The following is a 22,798-nucleotide window of genomic DNA, read 5'->3' on the forward strand; positions in this document are numbered from 1 at the left end:
TGATGCCAGACAAGTCTTTTCAAGGATGAAAAGTGATTACTTCAGTACTCTACCTACCATCTAATTAAAATACTTTCAAAATTACTGATTTTCTTAATAATATAAGAAAATGTATGTGAACATGGCCTATGATCACCTGAGCGGTCTGAGCATACTTACTCCTCCCCCAGATCAGGCCTTTAAACACTCTGCTGTAGACAGTCTGTTATTTTATTTTATGTACATGCTCCCACCTTCCATTAAGTTTTTGCATAAACTGTATCCTCCTTGTCCAGGAATTCATTCTCCCTCCTCTTCCCCAATACCTCATCTGCTTAATTTTCCATTCCTTTTTCATCTCAGAGAAATCATCTCTTTGTTAGGGCAGACTTCCTCACCTTCCTCACGAAGTTAAATTCTCTTCCTATATACATTCATAGATCACAATGCACCTTCCTTCACGGCACTTACCGCAGTTGCAACTATATCTTCACCTGTGCAATTATTTGAATAATATTTAATTATTTGACACCATAACTGTCATGACTGAACATTCCAAAATATACCACATATTTTCTGGCCACATTGATGGGATTATAACATAATATAAACTTGAATTATTTTAAAATTTGTGCACAACTGAAAATCACGTATGTACTTTCTCAGTGCCTCTTTATGTGGAGAGTTTATCTTATACTAATTCATCCCTGACTATTGTACTCCTGAGTTCCTGCCTCTGTTCTTTAGAATGGTTTCTATTTTTTTTCTGCTGGACTGTATTAGCCTTTCCTTTTGCCACTGGGAACATAGCTGTTTGTAGCTATCCCAGGTGTATAAGTAACCTAAATGGCTGCTTATAATTTCTGCCCACTAGGAGAGGGACTCCTTTACTCCATTAGTCTCCTGTTTGAATCTTAACTCTGCCCCAGGCTTCAGGATACATAAACACTGCCAATCATTCTTAAGAAGTGAAGGGATTGCAAATAAGCAAAGAAAAAGTAATTTTAAACATTCTTTCCAAATGACCTTGCAAGAGTTTTTTCCATTTTTAGAGGGAATAGTGGGAGTCAGAATTGGCAGAATAAAAGCAGCGTATTCCTAGACCATATATCAGCAGATAAATGTGTTCTGCAGCATTAAAATTACCCTTGTGGTGCTCATTCCTGGATGTACCATGTGTTCTGTGATGTAAATCAGTACATAGCCTTATATTTTCCTCTGTGTCATGGACCCACAGAATTGCAGTAGCATGAACTGGTTGGCAACAAAATTCTTTCCAGTGCTTCATAAAGCCTTTGGCTTTTCTTCATTTGATATGTGTGAGTAGGAATGCACAAAAAACAAGAACAGATGATATTATTTAAACCGTTTGGTAAGAAATGTCTGACAGGAAAAAAGAAAACATATGTATCGATTCAAGTGCAGTAATTCGCTTGGCGGTTTTCTATATTATCCTTTCTACTTGTAAAAATCATCTCCAATGCAGCAAAATGTTCTTAAATCCTTTATACTTCATTCTAAAAATCAATAGTCCAAAGATGTTAACTCTTTTTGGGCTTTTGGAAAACAAAACAAAAACCAGAAAAGAGAGGATAAATGTTTTCATTTTTATCTAAATTTTTCTGGTTGTTTCTGGTTTTTCCGTCTCCACTTCATTATTACTAACATGGAATTATTGATAAAGCTTAAAAGAAGAGAAACACAAATTCAGACTTTAGGAACTCACTTGAAATCCTTACTTAAAGACTAAAAGTCATTCATTTATTCATTTCATTCAATAAATACTAAGGATCTACTATTTTCCAGTTGGCCTCTTTGGCACTGGTGTATAATGCTACACGCAGCACTCACTGCTCCCTTGGTTCCTGCCACCATAATAGGGAGATAGCAATTAAATAAACACAGCTATATTATTATAAATTGGGATGCATGTTACCATGGAAAAGTACTGGGTGGAGTTTTAGTTTGAGAGTCAGGGAGTGCCTCTCTGAAGAAATGTCTACTATGAGACCTAAAAAATGAGTAGAAGTTGTCAGATTAAGGGGAGGAAAGGTGTTTTAGCCTGTTTTCTGCTACTATAACAGAATACCACAAACTGTGTAATTTATAAACAATAGACATTTATTTGGTTCATAGTTCTGGAGACTGGGAAGTCCAAGGTCAAGGGGCTGCATCTGGTGAGAGCCTTCTTGTTGCACCATAACATGGTGGAAGGGCAAACAAGCAAGTGAGACAGAGAGAAAAAGTAGGCCAAACTCCCAAGATAACTAGCCTACTGCCAAGATAACAGCATTAACCCATTCATAAGGACAGAGCCCTCATGACTAACCTCTTAAAAGCCCCACTGCCTGATAGAACTATATTGACAGTTAAATTTCAATATGAACTATGGAGAACAGTTTGGAGGTTCCTCAAGAAACTAAAAAAATAGCTACCATATGATCTAGCAAGCCCACTGCTGGGTATATACCCAAAGTAAAGGAAATCAATATATTGAAGGGATATCTGCACTTCCATGTTTGTTGCAGCTCTGTTCACAATAGCCAAGATTCAGAAGCAACCTAAGTGTCCATCAAGAGATGAATGGATAAAGAAAATGTGGTACTTATACACAATGGAGTACTATTCAGCCATAAAAAAGAATGAGACCCTGTCATTTGCAGCAACATGGGTGGAACTGGAGGTCATTATATTAAGAGAAATAAGCCAGGCAAGAAAAGACAAACATTGCATGTTGTCACCTATTTGTACGATCTAAAAATCAAAACAATGGAACCCAAGGAGATAGAGAGTAGAAGGATGGTTACCAGAGGCTGGGAAGGGTAGTGGGGAAATGGGAGACAGGGTAGAAAAGGTTAATGAGTACGAACAATAATTAGAATGAATGAATAAGGCCTGGTATTTGATAGCACAATAGGGTGACTGTAGTCAATAGTAATTTAATTGTAAATTTAAAAATAACTGTAATTGGATTGTTTATACCAGAAAAGACAGACGCTTGGGGTGATGGATAGCCCATTTTCCATGATGTGATTACACATTGCATACCTGTATCTAAACATCTCATGTACCCCATGATGCAACTACCATATATCCACAAAAATTAAATATAAAACATTATATAAAAATTTCCACATAATTTTCAAAAGGGATACTCTATAGTGGCGTGGGGAGGCAATCTACACATGAGGGGGAAATACCTGCCACAACTCTGAGGCCAGAAAGAGCCTGGCTTGGTGAAGAGCAGGAAGAAAACCAGAAAAGCTTGCACAAAGATGGTGGTAGCAAGGGGAAGCCAGCTTAGGACAAGGTTGACGAAGAGGACGGGGCCAGATATCGAGGAACTCGCAGGGAAGAGTAAGGAGTGTGGATTTCTTTCCAAGTTCAATTGGTTTTCACATTGCTGATAGCATCTCCCAAGTGATTACAAGTCACATTGCTCTGTATCATCCATAAATTATCCTCAAGAACTCCTAGGGCCATAACAATTTTATGAAGGACTCAGCTCTGATAATAGAAAGTCAATATTTTTAGTCTCTAGCTTTTCAAGTAGGCAGCTGGAAGTATAGCCAAAGGATTTCAGATTTCACAAATGTGAGATCAAGAGACATCTGCTAGTCTCTGTTCAATCTCTAATTTTCCTGTGTCTTTCTAAGTGACACAGAATTAGTAGGCTTAGAATTTGCTGTAAAAACTTGTTAAATCCATGCTTTGTTCTTTAACAGCATCTTAGCTCTTCTGCTTACTAGCTTTGTGACTTGGCAAGTTGTTTGACCTCTCAGATTCTGTTTTCTCATGTATAAAATAGGGACACACTACAGTAGTGATTAGCACTATTCACCAAATATTTCCTGCTCTCTCCACTTTGGACACACGGTAGGATTATACTCTCTGCCCCATTCCCTTGTAGTTAGGTGGTGTCAGGTGACTAGTTCTGACGAATGAGCTATGCATGGAAGTGAGGTTTGCCATTTCCAGGCTGGAGCTTTTGATTGCAAGTGTGAGGCTCTCTGAGCAATCCTCCCCTCTGCTGCCGGCCGCTCTGTCAGCCTAGGAAATATGGAGTAGGATGCAGAGTTGCCCATCAATGGACATGGTGGGTTATAAGCAACTGGGACTTTAGGTTATTGACCAGCCTCACTAACAGACTTACTTCATAGGTTTGTGATTAGAACTTGTATTCATCCATTCTTACACTGCTATTAAAAATACCTGAGACTGGGTAATTTATAAACAAAAGAGGTTTAATTGGCTCACAGTTCTGCAGGCTATACAGGAAGCATAGCAACTTCTGGCTCAGGGGAGACTTCAGAAAGCTTCCAATTATGGCAGAAGGCAAAGGGGCAGCGAGGCACTTCACGGCCAGAGTAGGAAGAAGAGAGAGGGTGGGGAGGTGCCACACACTTTTAAACAACCAGCTCTCATGAGAATTCACTCACTATACAGTATCAAGCAGCGGACGATGCTAAACCATTCACGATAACTTTGTCCCCATGATCCACTCACCTCCCACCAGGCCCCTTCTCCAACACTGGGGACATGGTGATTTGGGTGGGGACATGCATGATTTGACATGAGATTTGGGTGGGGACACAGATCCATACCATATCAGAACTTAATGGGATAATAGACACTAGGCAATTGTTATACTATCTGGCACACTATGAAGTACTAAATATAGGTTTCTATATTTCAAGTAAGCATTACCGGATTTCTCTGCCCAAGCATTTGCGTAGCTTTCAGGATTTAATTTTCAAGCCCAGAATTGAATGATTCAAGTTACCGTTAGAAATATTTACCCTGACATTTAATTATACATGCAAATTATTGGCCATCGTTTGTAAATCATATTTTTGGTTTATGATAATAGGTGATCTGCAAGAACCTCCAAGAACTGAACATTACTGTGCTCACAAAAGTAAACTCATAATGGCTGAAAACATATCTAATCTCCTTTTCAATAAATAATGATATGCAACTGATAGCTCTTGCCAAATGTAATTGAGATAAATCTTAACTGTTTGAAAATATTAAAGAAGTATTTACTTTTAATTCATTACAGATGCAAAATGTTTGGGTTTAAAGGAGAAAAATCAAAAGAAAACATTCTAAAATAATATCAATTTCTTTCTCTCCTTGCCATTTTTACAAACATACTCTACCTATAAACATGCACCTGTATAAATTATGACTAAATCTATTTTTACTGCTTCACAGTAAATCTTCTGCTGAATATATGGGGCCTTAATCTCCGGTGTATTATGTACTAAAGGCTAATAGATTTGGCAGCAAAAATAGACAGTTATATTCCATTAAAAACCAACTCCATAATTCATGACTGGACTCGGGGTCTGCTTCCAGCCCAATGGCACACCTGGCTCCCAAAGCTCTAAAACAAAATTTCCAGTTTTATAATTGCCAGAGTCATAGTTTTCTCCATTTAAAAAAACACATCAATATTTATGTTGTTTTCCATGTGCTCTCAAAATGACAGCTTAAATGATTTGACAATAAGTAAGGTTTGATTAAATTCAGTAGTCCCTTGACAGGGGTGGTTTATTTGATTATTCAAATTATTAATCATCATGCCATCTATTTAATTTTTTAATACTTAAATGAATTTTTTCTTGTAAAAGAAAATCTTGTAAACAAAATCATATCAGAGAAAGCCCTGCAAATTACAAGGAAGAAATAATCACTCATAATTCCAACCCTAGAAAAATATCACTGTTGACCACTTGAGGACTTTACCCTAGTCCTTTTATTCTGCAAACATTTGCCATAGAGGTGCAATAGAACACAAAATAATATATGCTGCTTTTAAATATTTGTGTATAATTATAAATGCAATCTATATAGTTCCTTATAAGGAAATATGAAAATTATTAAGTCAAAAACATAACCCAGGGAAAAAACCATCAGAGATAGTCATTATTCATATTTTAGTGCTTCCCCTAAAAGCAGCCATTACTTAGCTACTTTAGCATTCACTCAAAAGGTGTATTCTGCAGAATGGTCCTTAGCAGTGCAATTGTATTTTCCAGAGTGCCAAACATTTATTCACTTTTGAGTTCGAGCACCCACACACGTCATGCATTTGCAATATGAAGCAACAACAACGTGTTACACCCTGGTATTATCAATGAAATTAAACCTAGCCTGTCCTCTCCAAGAGCTCCAGGTCTGAGGAGGATGTAGACTAGGAAACAATTATAATACAGAGTGATTAATGCTAGGATTTGAGATATGCTCAGGATGCCATGGCACTGCGATGGAACACAAACCTCGTCTGATGGAGGAGAAGGTTTCAGGAAAACCAAAAGCTTCCTGGGGGCTTTGCAGTAAGGCTAGTTCTCAATGGATGCAGCCAAAGACAGAGGAATAGAGTCACAAGTGAGCATATGCAATCTAGGATCAAAGGCAATTCCATATGGTTGGAGGATAGAAAGATAGTGACAGGAGATGAGGTGGGAGAAGTTGGCCTGCAGGATTTGTATTCCATAATAAGAAGCCTGAATTTTATGCAAAATACAACAAAGCAGTTAAGCAGCAGAGTGACATATTCAGGTATGCATTTAAGAAAGAGCACTCTGGCTGCAGGAGGGGACAGATAAGACATGTGGCAAGGCTGAAGCTAAAGAGAACAGTAAACAATGGTCATCATCCAGATTAGAAATGGAGAGAGCCTAAATGAAGGCAGCAGTAATATAATGAATATTAAGAAAGTCAAGGAGGCTTAGACTATTCCTATCTACATGCAGCTTGGGGATTAACCTCAGATGTTGATCATGCTTGCCAAATTATTAATAAGACAATATCTCAAGACCTGCCTTGATAATCTCCTTTCAGTCTTATGATATGAGGTTAAAAACAAGGCAAATAATATATCTTGGATTCTATCCTAAAGGGATCAATGTAAGAAACCTGGCTAAAATTCTGACACCATAATTGAAATCCAGGAACAGAGGCCTATGCTACATCACATACGGAGAGCAGATGGCTCAGAGTGATCATCTCAAGAACTTCTCGTTGGGCAACGTGACTTTTGCAAAAGAACTAGGAAAGTGTTCCTTTGGGCCATGATGATTTATCAAGGCTAGAAGTTGAAATAATAAATCTATTCTGAACAATATACTTACTAAATCGTAGTCATTTATAGCCCTCTAATGAGACAGGTACTCAAATGGGTACACATTTGCTAGGTAAACAAATGTATTGCATGGGGAATTAGGGATTTACAGCTAGCAGGGGACATTGAGGCTCAATATTGATGGTTTGCTTTTTCCATTTCGGTTGCTAATGTGATTTATTTGCAGTTTTCTTAATCAAGGTGACTGACACAGAAACTATCTAAATTTTTTAGCACAGCAGTTAAAACAGTCCACAATACATAATTTGGCTCCTAAATAATTTCTCCCCCAACAATTAGAACTTTCCGAAACTGCTTTAAATCGCCTTATGAGGGTATCATGAGTTTGTGGTCATTGGAAGTATTAAAAGAAAAAAGCCTGGAATATCAGTAATGAAATGCATCAAGCAGGAATCATACATACATTAAAATACTGGTTTATAGTTTTGAGGGCGTTTTCTTTTTTTTCTGTTGCAGCTATGCGAAGATATGCTTATGTATTAATTGTTTTTCTTGCTAACACTGTATAAGCAAATTCAACTAAATTGATATAAGATTTTGCATACAAGATTAGAAAACCTGATACCTAGAATTATTTTAACACACATTTTTCAAGTTTGCTTATGACTTCACTAGGTTAGAACTTCTTAAAAAGCAATGCTTTAAACATTTTATTCATTCAACCTTTATTGAAAGCCAACATTGTGTTGCTGGATATGCAAAAATAAATCATGTATAGTGAGCTATTAAAAATTTTTATCAACTTACAAACTGAGTACAGGTACCTACTCTCACTGTAAAGCCTTAGCAAAAAAAACTGATTAAAATAATGCATAATAGTACATAAAAAATTAAAATCTTCCATTAGAGGAACAAAAATTATGAAGAATTTCTAGGAGATAGAAAATAATTATGTACAGAGAAGATAATTCAAAATACATGTTGGAGAAAATTACTCTTTCAAAAGTCAGACATGTCCAGAGAAACTGGAAGGGAGGAAGATAGAACTGATGGGAAACATGGCAGAGGGGGACACCCCCATCATGTGATGGCAAGAAATGCTGTTTCCACCTGAATGAATTCCCAAAATCTAAAAAACAGGAAAGTGAGATCTGAGCTGTATTCATAATTCTTTAACGTTTTCAGTATTCTCTCCAGCACTGCTTACTGAACTTGTTCAGGAGTGAAGCCACGTGTCCCCTGGGAGTGTGCTGCACTGGCAAGAAGAAATGGATGACTCACAATTTTGACAGTGACTCTATAGAAAGAAAAAAAATCTGTGACTCAGGGCCTTGGGGAGAAGTCATCTCTTCAAAAACTCATCTGATTTTTTTTCATGCCATGTAATTACTCAGAGAACATTAAGAGTCTAAAAAATTTCAACACTGGTGTCTAAGAGATATGGAATTACCTTTTGCCTGAGATGCTGGAAGCAGTGGGGGCAAGTTTGTAACTAGAAAGATTTGAGCAAGTCCAGGCTCAGGTATCCAAATTGCCCTCTTTGCTGTTGGCATAGGGGATTGAGATTTTCTGGGTCTTAAATAAGGTTTTATTTTTATCTAAGGAACTATAGTTTCTATGCAAATCCGAGGGGGCTTAGAGAAACCTAGCGTGGAAAAAAGAAACTGTCAAAGCAGTGTTTGGGGAAATGAGATGGGGAAATTTCACGAATAGTGGGCATAGAGAAACTGACTAGACAAGAGAACGTGAACATTATAATGATATCAAATGGAAAATTTGAAAGTTTATTTTGAAGGAGATGGCTAAAAACAATTTTATTCTGAATGAGAATGTGATTGCCAAGAATCAGTCTTCAAGCAATCCAGGATTTAAATTTCCTTGTTCTAGGCTCAGAATTTAAATAGGCAAAATGCAGGAGTTCGAGGCTGTATGAGCTATGATCATGCCTCTGCACTCCAGCATGGGTACAACAGCGAGACTGTATCTAAAAGAATAAAAATAAATAAAATAAAAAATAAATGGGCAACAGGAAAGACTTTAAGACCACTCTCCCCTCGCTGTTCACATGGCTGGGTTCTTCCCATTATCCAGGTTTCAATTTTAAGATCACATCCTTACGTATAGTTTTCACTGAATACTTAGCAATTTGATCAGCAATTTGATCTTATATAACACATTGAAATGCAACACGTGTGTTTCAAAGTCAAGTGATTAGAAGACTGTGGGCCCTAACTGCTGTTTATGGAAGTATGCATCCAAAGCAGATGCTGTCAGAGGTCCCATGTACACCCAATTCCATTAACAGTCTCTTCTGATTCTTTTTCTCACTGACAGCCTCTCAGCAAGTACTGGTGCTCTCCCTGAGGATTTTCTCTGGCTGCAGGAGCGTGTTTCAGCGTGCAGGGCAGACTGGAAGAATCTGTGAGTTGATGCCTCAGGAAGCAGCCCTCAACAGACATCAGACAGGAAATGCTGGATAAATATCCCAACTTCTCACCTCTTGGGTAGGACAACATTGAGGAATGTCCTGCAAAGTCTCCCTAGAGTCCCAAAGGGCCTGAGCCCCAGTTACCCACAGCAGCAATTCTGCACATTAGCACACTCCTTTAGTAATTTTCCTCCTTTCCTGTCTTATTTCCTCACTCCTGTCCATTGTTTCCTGGGATCACTCCCGAAGCAAATCACTTGCACTCACATCCACATCTCTACTTCTGGGGAGTCCCAAACTCACAAGACATTTTTCTACAAAGGAAAATCAAATATAAAAGAAAGTAGAGTAAGAAGAGTTGGGACCAACAATGACTGATGATTAAGCAGCAAGAATAGCGGCAATTAAAAACTGTAGATAACACTATGGATGCACTGATGACACAGTGTCTTGGCCAAGCCCTGTGGGAATTCATACTGTTTGCCTGTGTGCAGCAGCGGTGCAAGTTTTGCAGTGTTGTGAAATATTTAGTGGACGCTGACTTTCACAGAATCCTGAATTACTGTTCTCAATAAGCTCCAGTATTGTGCTATTTCAAATGTAGAAATACCAAAGTTTACTAATTGTGAGCTCTTAATATAGTAACTTACTAGCAGGTTATATAATGAAATGATATCATATGGCATATCATTTCCCATAATAAAGAAAAAGCTCTCAGTGTTCTACCAGTTTGGGCCCTTAAGACTCCTGATAGGCAGGTAGATGCTGGACCACACTCTCTTCCTGCACTAAATAGAGGTTGCAGACACTGGGTAAAACCCCAAGAACCACAAGCAGATGCCCACTGCTTTCCTGGCAGCCTGACCCTTGCACCAAAAATACTTTAAACAATAAGTTCCCAGTTCTTAAAAGAGCAAACATACCTTTAAAGGAAAAAGAAAAAATACACAAAAGTCTTACCGACCTTGGGTTTAATATTTACTCTTCTCTTTCTTAGGTCAAAGCTACGGAGTATAAACTGGGCTCCTGCCAGGTTCTTACCATATTCCTTCAATAGTTGTTTTTCAGGAAGCTCTGTTTTCTGGAAGAGATAAGAAAATAGTACCTGGGAGGAAATGAGCCATGCTTGTGTTGCTGAGTGATTCTAACATGTTTGGTGGGGGAGAGGCACATAGATGTTAAATCATTCACCCTTTGCAGAGAACATCCTTTGGGTAGAGTGTTTCTTATCCTCCTCCACCCAGAAGCCTTGTTTCTAGTTTCCTGTGCTTGCAAGCTTGTCTCTCCCAACTAGGCTGTAAATGAATTGAGGGTAAGGATCTTGTCTAATTTACCTCTACATCCCCAGGACAATAAGCAAGGGTGTAAATGCCTAGTTCCCTTGCCCAGGTAAAGAGAAAAGCGCACCTGAGGCAAGATTCCACTGCAGCGCCCCCTGCAGGCTCCACAGACGTGGTCTGAATTCACCGCCAGCTTCACTTCCTTCCATTCCCTGTCCTACTTCCCCCATTCCTTTACTGTCTCTGTGGAGCCTTCCTTAGTAAACCACTTGCACACAATTCTCAAGGTTTGCTTATGAAGATCAACAGCTATGACATCAACCCATAGGACAAAAAAACAGAGCAATAGAAAAATTAGTAGGCAATAGAAAAATTAATGACTGCCATGTCATCTTAGAGAAGGATCCTCGATTTCCACTCAAATTAGCTTGAGTGGAAAGTTTACAGAGGACTCTACATTGCTAGAAGTACTGGACGGGCTTGGGGGGATTCGCAAGTCACCTTTACTTGCTAGGGCCACATGGTGTCTCTCCTCTGTTTCTCTTAGCACTTGTACTCGTCTTTTTTTGCTGTAGTCCCATATTGCCTATGATGTTTTACTCTAATGTAATGTGTTTGCACATGACTGTGGCTTCCTAAGGCAAAGAAGCTCTTGCCCTGGCTCTATAGAGAACCAGCTTATCCAGTCCCTTAATTCTGTAGGTCCAAATGCCAGACAAAAACAAAATAAAATAAAAAAACAGACTCTGATGAGCCCATCCAAGGTCAAGTCCCTGCCCCATCCAAATCAGATTCAACAGTGGAAACAGAGTCATCTGCCATGACACAACCACTTCTTTGACGGTACTGTGGGCATGAGTGGACTTTTTCAGGAGGAATTATGCACTCAGGGTAATGACTGACATCTGTAGGGCAATAACAAGCCAACACTGCTTGTTAGATTCCCAGTCCTCTTGAACATGTTCCATCAACTCCATTCTCATGGGCTTGCTCACTGTCTACCAACATACTGGGCTAAATTTGCCTCCAGGCTTCCTCTCATTGTCCCTCAAATTATATAGGCGTTGGCTCTTTTCTGAAAACAATATCCTTCATTTCCTACTTTCCCCATGAAGCCTTTCCCAGAATTCCAATTGTCCCCTAATGCCTAAATCAACATTTTATTTTGTCCATTTACCCACTGGTGCATGGTAGCACCAGGGTTGTCTTCCTTACTTAGAGAATAAGTTCCTCCAAATCAGGGAGGGACCATGCCTCCTATTTCTTCTGTTTCACTTATATCATTTGGCACGATTCTGAGCACGTAGCCAGCAAAACATAGCTGCTTCTCCCTAATGTACTGAATGAAGTAGATAAAGCTTTTCTACAGCACCTATTTCAGTGCCTTAATCATAGGCTGGATAAGAAACTTTTTGTACTACTGCCCCTTGGGCCTCACCACTACAGCATGAGCTTATTCCACTTCCAACTGCCAGGATCTGTATCTCTTTGCCAGAGGGCTTTTTCCCAAGCAGCAGGAAGCCTTTCTGGCCTTGGGCATAGTAGACTGGATAGTCTGGAATATTAATTGCTGGCAGCACTCAATTCAGGAGCTGGTGGAAGTAACCCAGCTCCCTCACCCCTCCATGGGTGTCAAGACTTGGTTCCTTCCAGTGGGTTCATGGTCTCGCTGACTTCAAGAATGGAGCTGCGGACCTTCGCAGTGAGTGTTACAGCTCTTAAAGATGACACGGACCCAAAGAGTGAGCAGTAGCAAGGTTTATTGTGAAGAGCGAAAGGACAAAGCTTCCACACAGCGTGGAAGGGGACCCAAGCAGGTTGCCACTGCTGGGTGGGGTGGCCAGCTTTTATTCCCTTATTTGCCCCTCCTGTGTTCCATTTCTGTCCTATCAGAGTGCCCTTTCTTCAATCCTCCCCATGATTGGCTACTTTTAGAATCCTGCTGATTGGTGCATTTTTACAGAGTGCAGATTGGTGCATTTTATAATCCCTTTGCTAGCTACAGAGCACTGACTGGTGCATTTTACAATCCTAGCTACAGAGTGCTGATTGGTGCATTTTACAATCCTCTTGTAAGACAGAAAAGTTCTCCAAGTTCCCACTTGACCCGGGAAGTCCAGCTGGCTTCACTTCTCAGTAGGTTAACTCTGAGTGTTCTACACTGTTTCCCAGAGTTCCCCAGTGGGCTTGAGCCCCAGCTGCCCACAGTGGTGACTTACTTGATAATGGCCTCCTGTGTCTGCCTTTCCTTCCTGTCTCACTTCTACACTTCCCTGTTAGTGTTTCCTGGGATCACCTCCCAAGTAAACCACTTACACTTGAATTCTTGTCTCCGAGTCTGCTTTTAAGGAAACCTAAACTAAGACAATGTTCAATAAATGCCAATGGAAAGGTTGAAAAGGTAATTTTCACCTTCCCCCTCACAGGTAGAGAAGCTAGGCCATTGACAGGGTTGGATTTCTCAAGACTGGCAGGATAGAGGACTCCACTCCTATGGAAGCACCTTTCAAGAAGAGACGGTATGGGAATCAGTTTAAAACACAAAGCACTGCATCCTTGGGGGCATCTGTTAAGTTCATTGCACCCAACCAGACCTCCTAGAGAGGGCAGGTGCTGACAACATAACTGCCAACAATTTACTGGTCCAATTTGTGATAGGCAATATATAACTCGGCAGCCCAGAAGCCACATCCCCATTTGTCTTGGTTTTCATTAATTCAAAAAAGAGGAAGAAACCAATAATGATAATAATAATAACAATAACAACAACTATTAGACTTTCTGCTAACCTGGGTGAGCAGCATTTGACTTGAGCTATGAAATCAGAAAAATGTCCCTTTCTTGCATCTTAATTTTGCAACAAATTCAACCTGTTAATATAGTCCTTCAGGAATTAAACAGACAAAACCATACAAATGCTTGGAGGATGATGGGAAAAACCAGTTACTTCTGACTAACTGGAAGGGCAGCTTGATCATTTCTGATGGTTGATTGCATAATTTCAGTCCTTGAACATTTAGTGTGCCATCCCCTTGGTTGCTGGAGGAATGCAATTGCTCTATGAAATGTGAAGAGACTTGACAAGAACTATTTTCATGGTTATGTGCCAAGTTCTTGCTTTAACTTGCTTGCTTAATCAAATGTCTACTCATGATATCTTTGGGAGTTTCTAAGTTTCATTAGCTCTTTCCTTAAAGAGAAATTAATCTACTTGGCAAGGAAGGTTTATTCATCATAGGTGAGCAAACATTAGCACTTTCTAATAATTAGTTCCAAGATCCAGTTTCTAGATACCTACCAAGTTCAGCCCTGGTTCACAAGAAATTGACCTATTTTCAGTGGAAGCACTGTAACCAGTGCAATAAACTCTATCTCATAGAACAGTGTTAATCTGTCATCACAGCCAAAATGATTTGTTATAGCAAAGCAACAATCAGAGTAAATGATGCCTGTCCCTTCATTAAGGAAATCTAGAAGAATGCTCTGTCATGAGTTTAATCTGAGATTTGCCTGGCTATCCTGATGAAAACCATCTAATGAATATGTAAATTTATCATTGTCTTCTATTGTAAAAATGCACAGCAAATTTTCTGCTTGGCTATGCATAATCAGAAGAGAAATCCTCACTGCTGTGAATTTGAACTTGAATAAAAATTGTCTTCTCAGGAAAAGAGCATGCTAGATGGAGGAGGGGTTAACAAGAGCCTTCAGTTTACAGATGTAGGATGTCTTCCTGCTGTTAATTATTGTGGTAGGCAGTGTAATGGCCTTCTCCCCAAAGACATCCACATTCTAATCCTTGGAAACTGAATATGTTATCTCACACAGCATGGGGCCCACTGGCACTGGACCCCTCCAGTTGGCAGGTCCACTGAGGCTTGGGTACATGGGTAGACATTCACCCTCATTTACCATTCTGCTGAAACTGTATCTCTAGGTTTCTGAATGGGAAGAAGGAGCCTACTGGAAGGAAGAGTCATGGCTCCTGGAAAGTGGGGGAAATGAAGCAAAATGGAGTTCTTTCCAGAGTTGCCAGATTATTTCAATAAAAATATCAGACATGTGTGAGTAAAAAACATGGACAAAATAGCAACAAAAATGCAATATAGAAAGATTTCTGGAAACAATCCATAACGTCTTATATTTTGCACTGAATACAATGACATTTTTTCATTTCTTTATTTTTCAGAAACTCAGGTTTTGTACACTTGAACTAGAAAAGCATCACATAGGTCAAGACAAGAAAAAAAAATTTTCAAACATCAGTTAATGACATGAAAAATAATAAAAACTATTTAGTTAGATTGTTTAGACTTTTATAAGGAAGACTAATATAAATTTACTGACACATTTCTTCAATGTGTTTCCAGAATAAAAGCTCAAACTCTCAATGCTTTCAGAATAAAAGACCACACATGATCTTCGGTGTGGTAAACACCCTCCAGAGTACTTCAAATCATGGGTTAGACAGAAACTACAGACCAGCAATATCCAATGGAAATATAGCATGAACCATGTTCAAAGAAGTTGAAGGAAACATATGAAATTATTTGTAAGAATCTATCTTATTTAACTTGATATAGCAAAAACATCATTTCAATGTGTAAACAATATAAAAATTAACTAAATATTTTGCTTTTTCAAATCTATTCTTGAAATCCGATGTGTAATGTACTTAAACCATATCTCAATTTAGATAGTAAAATTTATCAGAAATAATTAATCTGTAGTTACATTTCATAAAATTTATCATTGGCAAGTAAGATTCACATACTCAAGTTGTTCTAAGCATACATTAAAAAGTTTTCAATAACTGAATCAGTTTTTTATTTTAATTTTTAATTACAATTAAATAAAATTAGAAATTCAGTTCTTTAATCACAGTAGGCAGCCGGGCACGGTGGCTCACACCTGTGATCCCAGCACTTTGGGAGGTCGAGATGGGTGGATCACGAGGTCAGGAGGTTGAGACCATCCTGGCCAACATGGTGAAACCTTGTCGCTGGTAAAATACACACACAAAAAAATTAGTCTGGCGTGGTGGAGCGCAACAGTCGTCCCATCTAGTCAGGAGGCTGAGACAGGGGAATCGCTTGAACCCAGGAGGTAGAGGTTGCAGTGAGCCAAGATCGTGCCACTGCACTCCAGCCTAGTGACAGAGTGAGACTCTGTCTCAAAAAAAAAAAAAAAAAAAATCGCAGTAGCCACCTTTTATATGCCTAGTTGACACCTGTAGCTTATGGCTACCATATTGAACATCACAACACTAGCTCATACACAATGATTATAAGAATGTGTGAGATTTGTTTCACTTTCATAAATTTTTTGTGCTAATTTTCTATGTGACCCATTTTTTTCTCCATGTTTAATCTGAAGCCTTTAAATGAGAGGCCCTTGTGTTCTTGTCAGTGGTGTCAATAAGGAAGTGAAGAAGGTAAGAAGGAAAGGGGAGAAGTTTCTATGAAAGAATGGAGGATGTTGGCAGAAGCTTCAGAGAAAGGAAATCAGCCTAACTCTCCAAGATCTGTTGGGCAGAAAGAACAGAGGTTCCCAGGGCAGTAGGATGGGCCTGGAAATTGTTCTAGCACACTTTCAGACTGGGCTCTTGTTTACAAATGACAGAAACTTGATTCAAACTGGCTTTGACAATGAAAGTACTCTATCAATTCAAATAAATAAAACATCTACATGTTCTGTAGTGAGAAGCTCAGGCATGGCTAAATCCAGAGGATCAAATAATGTCATCACAAATTTATTTTTCTTAATCTCTCAGCATCAATGTCCCTGTGTTGCTTTAAATCCAATCAGGGTTTCACCATAGTAAAAAGATGGCCACCAGCTACCCCAACCTATGTCCTATTCTTAACAACTCTACCAAAAAGAGTACTTCTTTCTGAGAAGCCCCAGCCAATGTCCTGGGCTGATACTCCCTGGTCTGGGCATAGATCTTATGCTCATTCCTCAACTAATTCCCAGGCCTGGTGAATTTCCCAGCTTTGGAGATGGAGGGTTGGATCTGACCACTCAACCCCCATGAATTAGAAAAGGGAGAGTGATTTGTTCTTCCAAGGGAAAATCAGGCTGCTATAGCTAGGAGAAGAGGGAATGGATGCTGGGCAGGAAAAATTTCTTGTGTGTTAAATCAAGACTTTTGACAATGAGGAGGCTAGTCAGTTCCCCCAAAATAATTTATTCAGACTTTAGGTGTTTCATGAAGAAAATTGTATCATCTGCCAAGCACCTAATCTCCTTTCCCCATTAGTCAGTCACATGGGAATTCATACCTTTTTAAAGCTACCTAACCTTGAAAAAGTTGTTTAATCTCACCATGATTCAGATTTTCCATCTATAAAATGGAAATGATAATAGGGCCTACCTCATACATTTATAATAAAGATTACATTTAATCTTATATAATAAGATAATATAATAAAGATTATATTTAATCTTTTATAAATGTATGAGGTAGGTCCTATTATCATTCCTATTTTATTTGTTCTTATTTGTGAAGTGCTTGCAATAAAGTCTGGCAGATGACAAGGGTTTAAAAAAACCCCACTAAATAAATACACAAAAGTGTGATATTATACATTTTTCTCAGAAAAGAAGATTCATTGACTTCTCAAATGAATTCATCTAGGCTTCTTCCCATCAAGGTGGCCTCCAGAGAGATGAGAAACTACTGGAAATGTTTACTAAATAAATGAGTCTCATTTTCAAAGGAAAGGTCATAGACACTTTTTAAGACACACAGATGTCCTTTAATGCAGCTCATCTGTATTGTAATTTCTGTGAGCTTGCATTAGAATGTAATTAAATTAACACCAATGCAGTCCTCCTGTCAAGGAAGCTCTGCCTAATGTAATGGCGTCAAGGAACAATCTGAGCATTACACATATCATGAGGAATTGTTTCCATCCCCATTCTATTCTTATTGTCACAATATTTGGTTTAATTAAGTTATATAGGATAGTAATTATAGCAAATGTAGTTTGGCTGGGAAAATACTCCTTGTGATATGAAGGTCGCATCTCCAGACACCACTGCTGGGGAAGGCAGAATTCAGTCCCTACTTAGGACATAAAAACTCTCAGACACATAAGAAGACTGAGAATAGGAATTGCCTGCTCCTGAAAATGCCAAATTGATATATGGTGAGAAGCCGAGTCTTAGAGTCCCTTTATTGTTGGATACATTCAATAAATAAAAGGAAAGAGCCACCTATAAAAGGTAATTCAAGGGACCATATGCTCTACCTTTCCAAAAAGATAAGTCTAAAATTACAGCCCTAGGGTCAGTTCTCTGATTTGGCATTGCCTCAAGTAGGCCCTTGCCTGTTACAGGGACATTTGCTACCTGGAGGGAAACACATTAACATTCTAGCACCACCACCACTGTCATGTAGGTAATGTACTAGATTACTCAGCCGGGTGTGGGAATGTTCCCATTCCTCACTCTTCCCCATACCCATGTCCTTGCCCAAGAACTCTCCAGTTCCTTCCTCTAGAAAGTGTGCTTTGTCCCATGTGGCTTGCTTTGGCCAGTGACGTATGGGAAAGAGTGAGGATGTACTGTTCTGACCCTACACCCAAAGAAGTGCTATCCCTTTCTGCTCACTCCTCTTGGTTTCTGCCACACCATTCTTCTATTCTAGAAGAATGTGAGACATATGGAACAGAGGCACCCTGGCCAATCAGCAACTCTGTGAGTGTGATCATCAATGCTTATCATTAAACGCCACTGAGATTTGGGGTGGTTTGTTGCGCAGTATGGCTGAGGTAACAGTTGACTAATACACTGGTTATTCAGCTAAGACAGAGAGACGCTCTGAGTGTCTTAACCATAGCAAGTAAAGTTTCCTGTAAGACAAGGCAGAATTTGTAGCCTTCATTGTAGCCATTCCCTGGCCCTTTTTCCTTGCTTTGTATAATTATAGAATCTAAGGAGTGAAATACTCAAGTTCCAGAATTTTTTACAGCTAGGGTGGCCATATGATGCATTTGTAGCCAGTGATACATGTTTTTTTTTTTTTTTTTTTTTTTGCAGGGGACTCCTGGAAATACTTTTGCCGTCATGAAAAAAGCAGACTTTTGTTACTGCTCTTCTCCCTTCTTCCTGCCTTGAAGGCAGTCATGATTCCTGAAACTAATGCAGCCAAGGTGCAGCCAGGAGGGGAGCAGTGTGAGGTTGAAAAATCAACAGCTTAAGGAGGGCAGAGTAGGAAGATGGAAAAGGCATGAGTCTTTGATGATGTTGCTGAGTTAGCTAAACCCCAGTAACAAATGCCTCAGTCTTCTTTTTCTTAGAGCTAAAATTAGTGTCCATTTTGTTTAAGCCCCTATTAGATGGGTGATATCTAATGTGATATCTAAAATTAAATGAATTTCTAACTGATATGCCTAATTTACAGTTTGGCTTGGAACTGGCTTAGTCTGTTTGCATCAGAAAGATGGCATAGTTTCCCCCATTGGGTATTAGAGAAACTAAAATAGAAAGAAACTGAAAGTTTTATGGCCTACTGAGGTCAGAAGGAGGGGAGAGCAGGGAAGCAGCAGTCTCAACCTTTAACAGCAAATCGAAGTCCCCTAGGAATTGAGATGGGGAAGACTTGGAACACCTCTCTTCTCTGTGTCTTGTCCTGTTTACCTATTAAAACCCAACCCATCCATTCCTAGCCTCTTCCATGAAGCTTTCTCAAAATCCAGCCAGAGTGAACCACAGCTTTCTCTGAATATCTAGAGTTGTTTATTGGTTTTGATCTATGTGTGCCCCTCAATTGACACATCACACTTGTCCCTGCATGAGTCCAGCTGTGTAATGTGTCTTATCTTCCCTACAAAGATAACATCTTAATCTCTGCAGAATCTCCTGCAGAACCTAGTAAATACGCAGCATACATCAAGTCTTTAGTAACCAGTAATAACAATTAATTACATAAAATGAATATAAACTTGCTTTATAACAAGCCTATCATCACACCTCTGCTTATGGGTGTATCTGGAAACTTAATTAGGAGTTGGTAGCAAAAACAGTCAGCTATTTCTCTTCTATTGCAGAGGAAATAGATTAGGAGAGAAATGAGAGAGGACAACAGAGAGGAGAAACAAAGAACAGTTCAAAGTCACCTCCAAAGAGACCAGAGTCTCTGTATAATTTATTCCCTCTTGGGAGCATTCCTATCAGTAGTTCTGATGAAAAGAGAGTTAGCAATCTGGCACCGTTTTGCATATTTACACTGTTCCTTAAAATATATGTTGAATCATTTAGACTTTTTAGCTTCCACTTTAGTAAAAAAAAAAAAAAAAAAAAAAAAAGAGGGAAAGTCTAAGCTGGAGAGTGCTAGAACTCATAATTAAGAAGGAGGGGAGTCTTACACTGGTCCCCCAGAAGCAGACACTGAAACAAGGGTTTGAGTCCAGATGGTTTATTTGTGAGGTGACCCCAGGAACCATTGTAGGAAAATGTGGAAATGAGACAGTGAAGGAAAGGAAGCTAACACAGGTGCATTAATGAGTGGGTAATTGGAAATCAGTCCCCACGGAAAGCTCTATGTAGAACACAGCTCCAAATTGTTCCCCATGTGTGATGAGGAGCTGGGATATTTATCTACTAACTCCCATTTGCACTTGGGCCCATTGGGCACTCCTAGACTGCCCCACGCATAACTGATCATGCTCCTGCAGCCAAAGAAAGTCCTTAAGCAGAGAATCCAAGGTGCTTGCAGTAAGAAACCATTGGCATGTGCAGGAATACTGAGTATTGATGATATGTAAATAGGGCATCAATCGTGTCTGCTATATGGGGAAAAGTAAAGGGTAGCAGAGTAGGGGCTGGGGGATGAGAAAGCAAGGAATGAGGAGCACTCACTTGGGGAGGACTGCCAACTGTGTAGCCAGGTCTCAATGAACAAAAGTAGGCATTCTGTTGAAACTGCTGGGGAAGTCTATAATATAATACCTCTACCATTTATCTTAATTGTCTTTAGATATAGAATGCCTTCAAAATCATAAGGGCCAAAACTTATATTTATCAACCTTCCTGTCCCGTATTGAGGGAATAATAGAGTACATCCATATAGCAGAATATTCTGAATCTGTTTAAAATTATGATGCATAGTTTCAATAAAAAGAAAAGGCATTTATAATTTAAAGTTAAGTGGTTTTTTTAAAAGGCAAGATCTAAAATTGTATATCTGGTAGGATTTCCACACTGTAAAAAACATGTACTGAACCAATATTGGAAGAAAATGTTAACTTTTTAAAAGTTTTTGAGTGGTGGGATTGTAGTTACTTTCCTCTGCTTCCTTATAATTTTCTAAAGTTTACCTGCTTTCCACAAGGACATGTATTACTTATAACTATAAAGATTTTTTATGAAATCTCTAAATATAAATAAATGTGTATATATATATGTATATATATATATATATATATATATATATATAGCCACTCATTGCCACCAATGGTCCTGCAATAACTTGGCCCATCTGAGCCTTTGTTGTTAGATTCTGTTTAGGACTGTGCTCAAGGGCACTGGCTCCCAGGAGATTAACATCTTCAGCTTTGCTCTCATTTCCCAAGAAGTCGGTGTCACATTTCAGTTCAGCCAACGAACAGGTATTCACTAATTTAATAAATATTGATAGATTACCCAGTGTATGCCAGGCACTAAATAAAACCAAATATAGTTTCCAGCCCTCATGGAGGGAACTGAGTAATAAAAGCAAATGAATAAAACTGTCCATCTTTGAGTAGTCCTATGCAGGAGAGATGCCTGGTTGTATTAGAATCTGCAGTAGGAGATTTGGATCTAATGGGTTGGGCTGCCCTCAGGAAGTGAGGGTCAACTTAAGATCCCAAGGATGCATGGAAGTTAACCAGGCAAATGTTAATTGGGCTTCTAATGTGTGCAAGGGGTCACCATGCTGGAGTCTTGGGACACAAACTTCTGTCCTCAAGGATCTAGCCATCTGATTGCCAAGCCACAATCAGGATTCCTAAAATAAAAGAAAAATCCCCACCGGTATTAGATTAAGGCCCCGGATGTCTATAAGAAGTTCAAAGGAGGAGCAATCAATAAGGGCTAAAGTAGTCCAGAAAGACTCCAGAGAAAAAGTAGCTTAGGTGCACTTTTTTGTCAGCCAGAAGGACAGGCTTGCCTAGCAAGGGGAACTGCATGAGCAAAAGTCCAGAAGGGTCAATGCCAATAATCTTTATATAAGAGAGTAAGATGAGAGGTTGCAACTGAAACTGTTACTGGAAAGGCATCCCGATCCTGACCCCAAGAGAGGGTTCTTGCATCTCACACAAGAAAAACTTCTAGGCCAATCCATAAAGTGAAAGCAAGTTTACTTAAAAAGTAAGGGAATAAAGAATGGCTACTCCATAGGCAGAGCAGCCCTGAGGGCTGCTGGTTGCCCATTTTTATGGTTTTTTCTTGATTATATGCTAAACAAAGGGTGGATTAATAATGAGCTTTCCAGGAAAGGACTGGGCAATTCCTGTAACTAACGGTTCCTCAGGCTTTTAGACCATATAGGGTAAATTCCTGACGTTGCCATGCACCTGTACATTGTCATGGTGCTGGTGGGAGTGTCTCTTAGCATGCTAAAGCATTATAATTGACCTATAATGAGCAATGAGGATGACCAGAGGTCACTCTCATTGCTCTCTTGGTTTTGGTGGGTTTTGGCCATCTTCTTTACTGTAATCTGTTTTATCAGCAAGGTCTTTATGGCCTATATCTTGTACTGACCTCCCATCTCATGCTGTGACTTAGAATGCCTAACCATCTGGGAATGAGGACAAGAGGACAGCTTCAACTTTTCATGACTTCATCTCCAACCCAACCAATCAGCACTTTCCACTTCCTGCACCCCCTACCCATCAATTTATCCTTAAAATCCCCAGTCTCCAAATTTTTGGTAAGATTGACTTGAGTAGTAATAAAACTCTGGCCTCGCATTCTGCCGGCTCTGCGAGAATTAAACTCTTTATGGCAATTTCTCTGTCTTGATAAATC

At 39.2% G+C, this 22,798-nt stretch overlaps 1 long non-coding RNA gene across 1 annotated transcript in view, besides 1 other annotated feature; it reads right to left on the bottom strand.

Moving 5' to 3' along the window:
• The window catches only part of SNAP25-AS1 (SNAP25 antisense RNA 1), a 195,695-nt gene that overhangs the window by 42,524 nt on the left and 130,373 nt on the right, over positions 1 to 22,798 (bottom strand). The window lies entirely within an intron of this gene.
• Positions 8,031 to 9,230: an enhancer, noted in NCBI's record as "P300/CBP strongly-dependent group 1 enhancer chr20:10055014-10056213 (GRCh37/hg19 assembly coordinates)". NCBI's record gives its function as "activates an origin of replication core promoter dependent on BRD2, BRD4, P300/CBP, MED14 and CDK7 cofactors, with strong dependence on P300/CBP, by STARR-seq in HCT116 cells {active_cell/tissue: HCT116}" and the evidence as "EXISTENCE:reporter gene assay evidence [ECO:0000049][PMID:35650434]".

This window comes from Homo sapiens, chromosome 20 (assembly GCF_000001405.40).
Source record: "Homo sapiens chromosome 20, GRCh38.p14 Primary Assembly".
Classification (NCBI taxonomy): domain Eukaryota; kingdom Metazoa; phylum Chordata; class Mammalia; order Primates; family Hominidae; genus Homo; species Homo sapiens.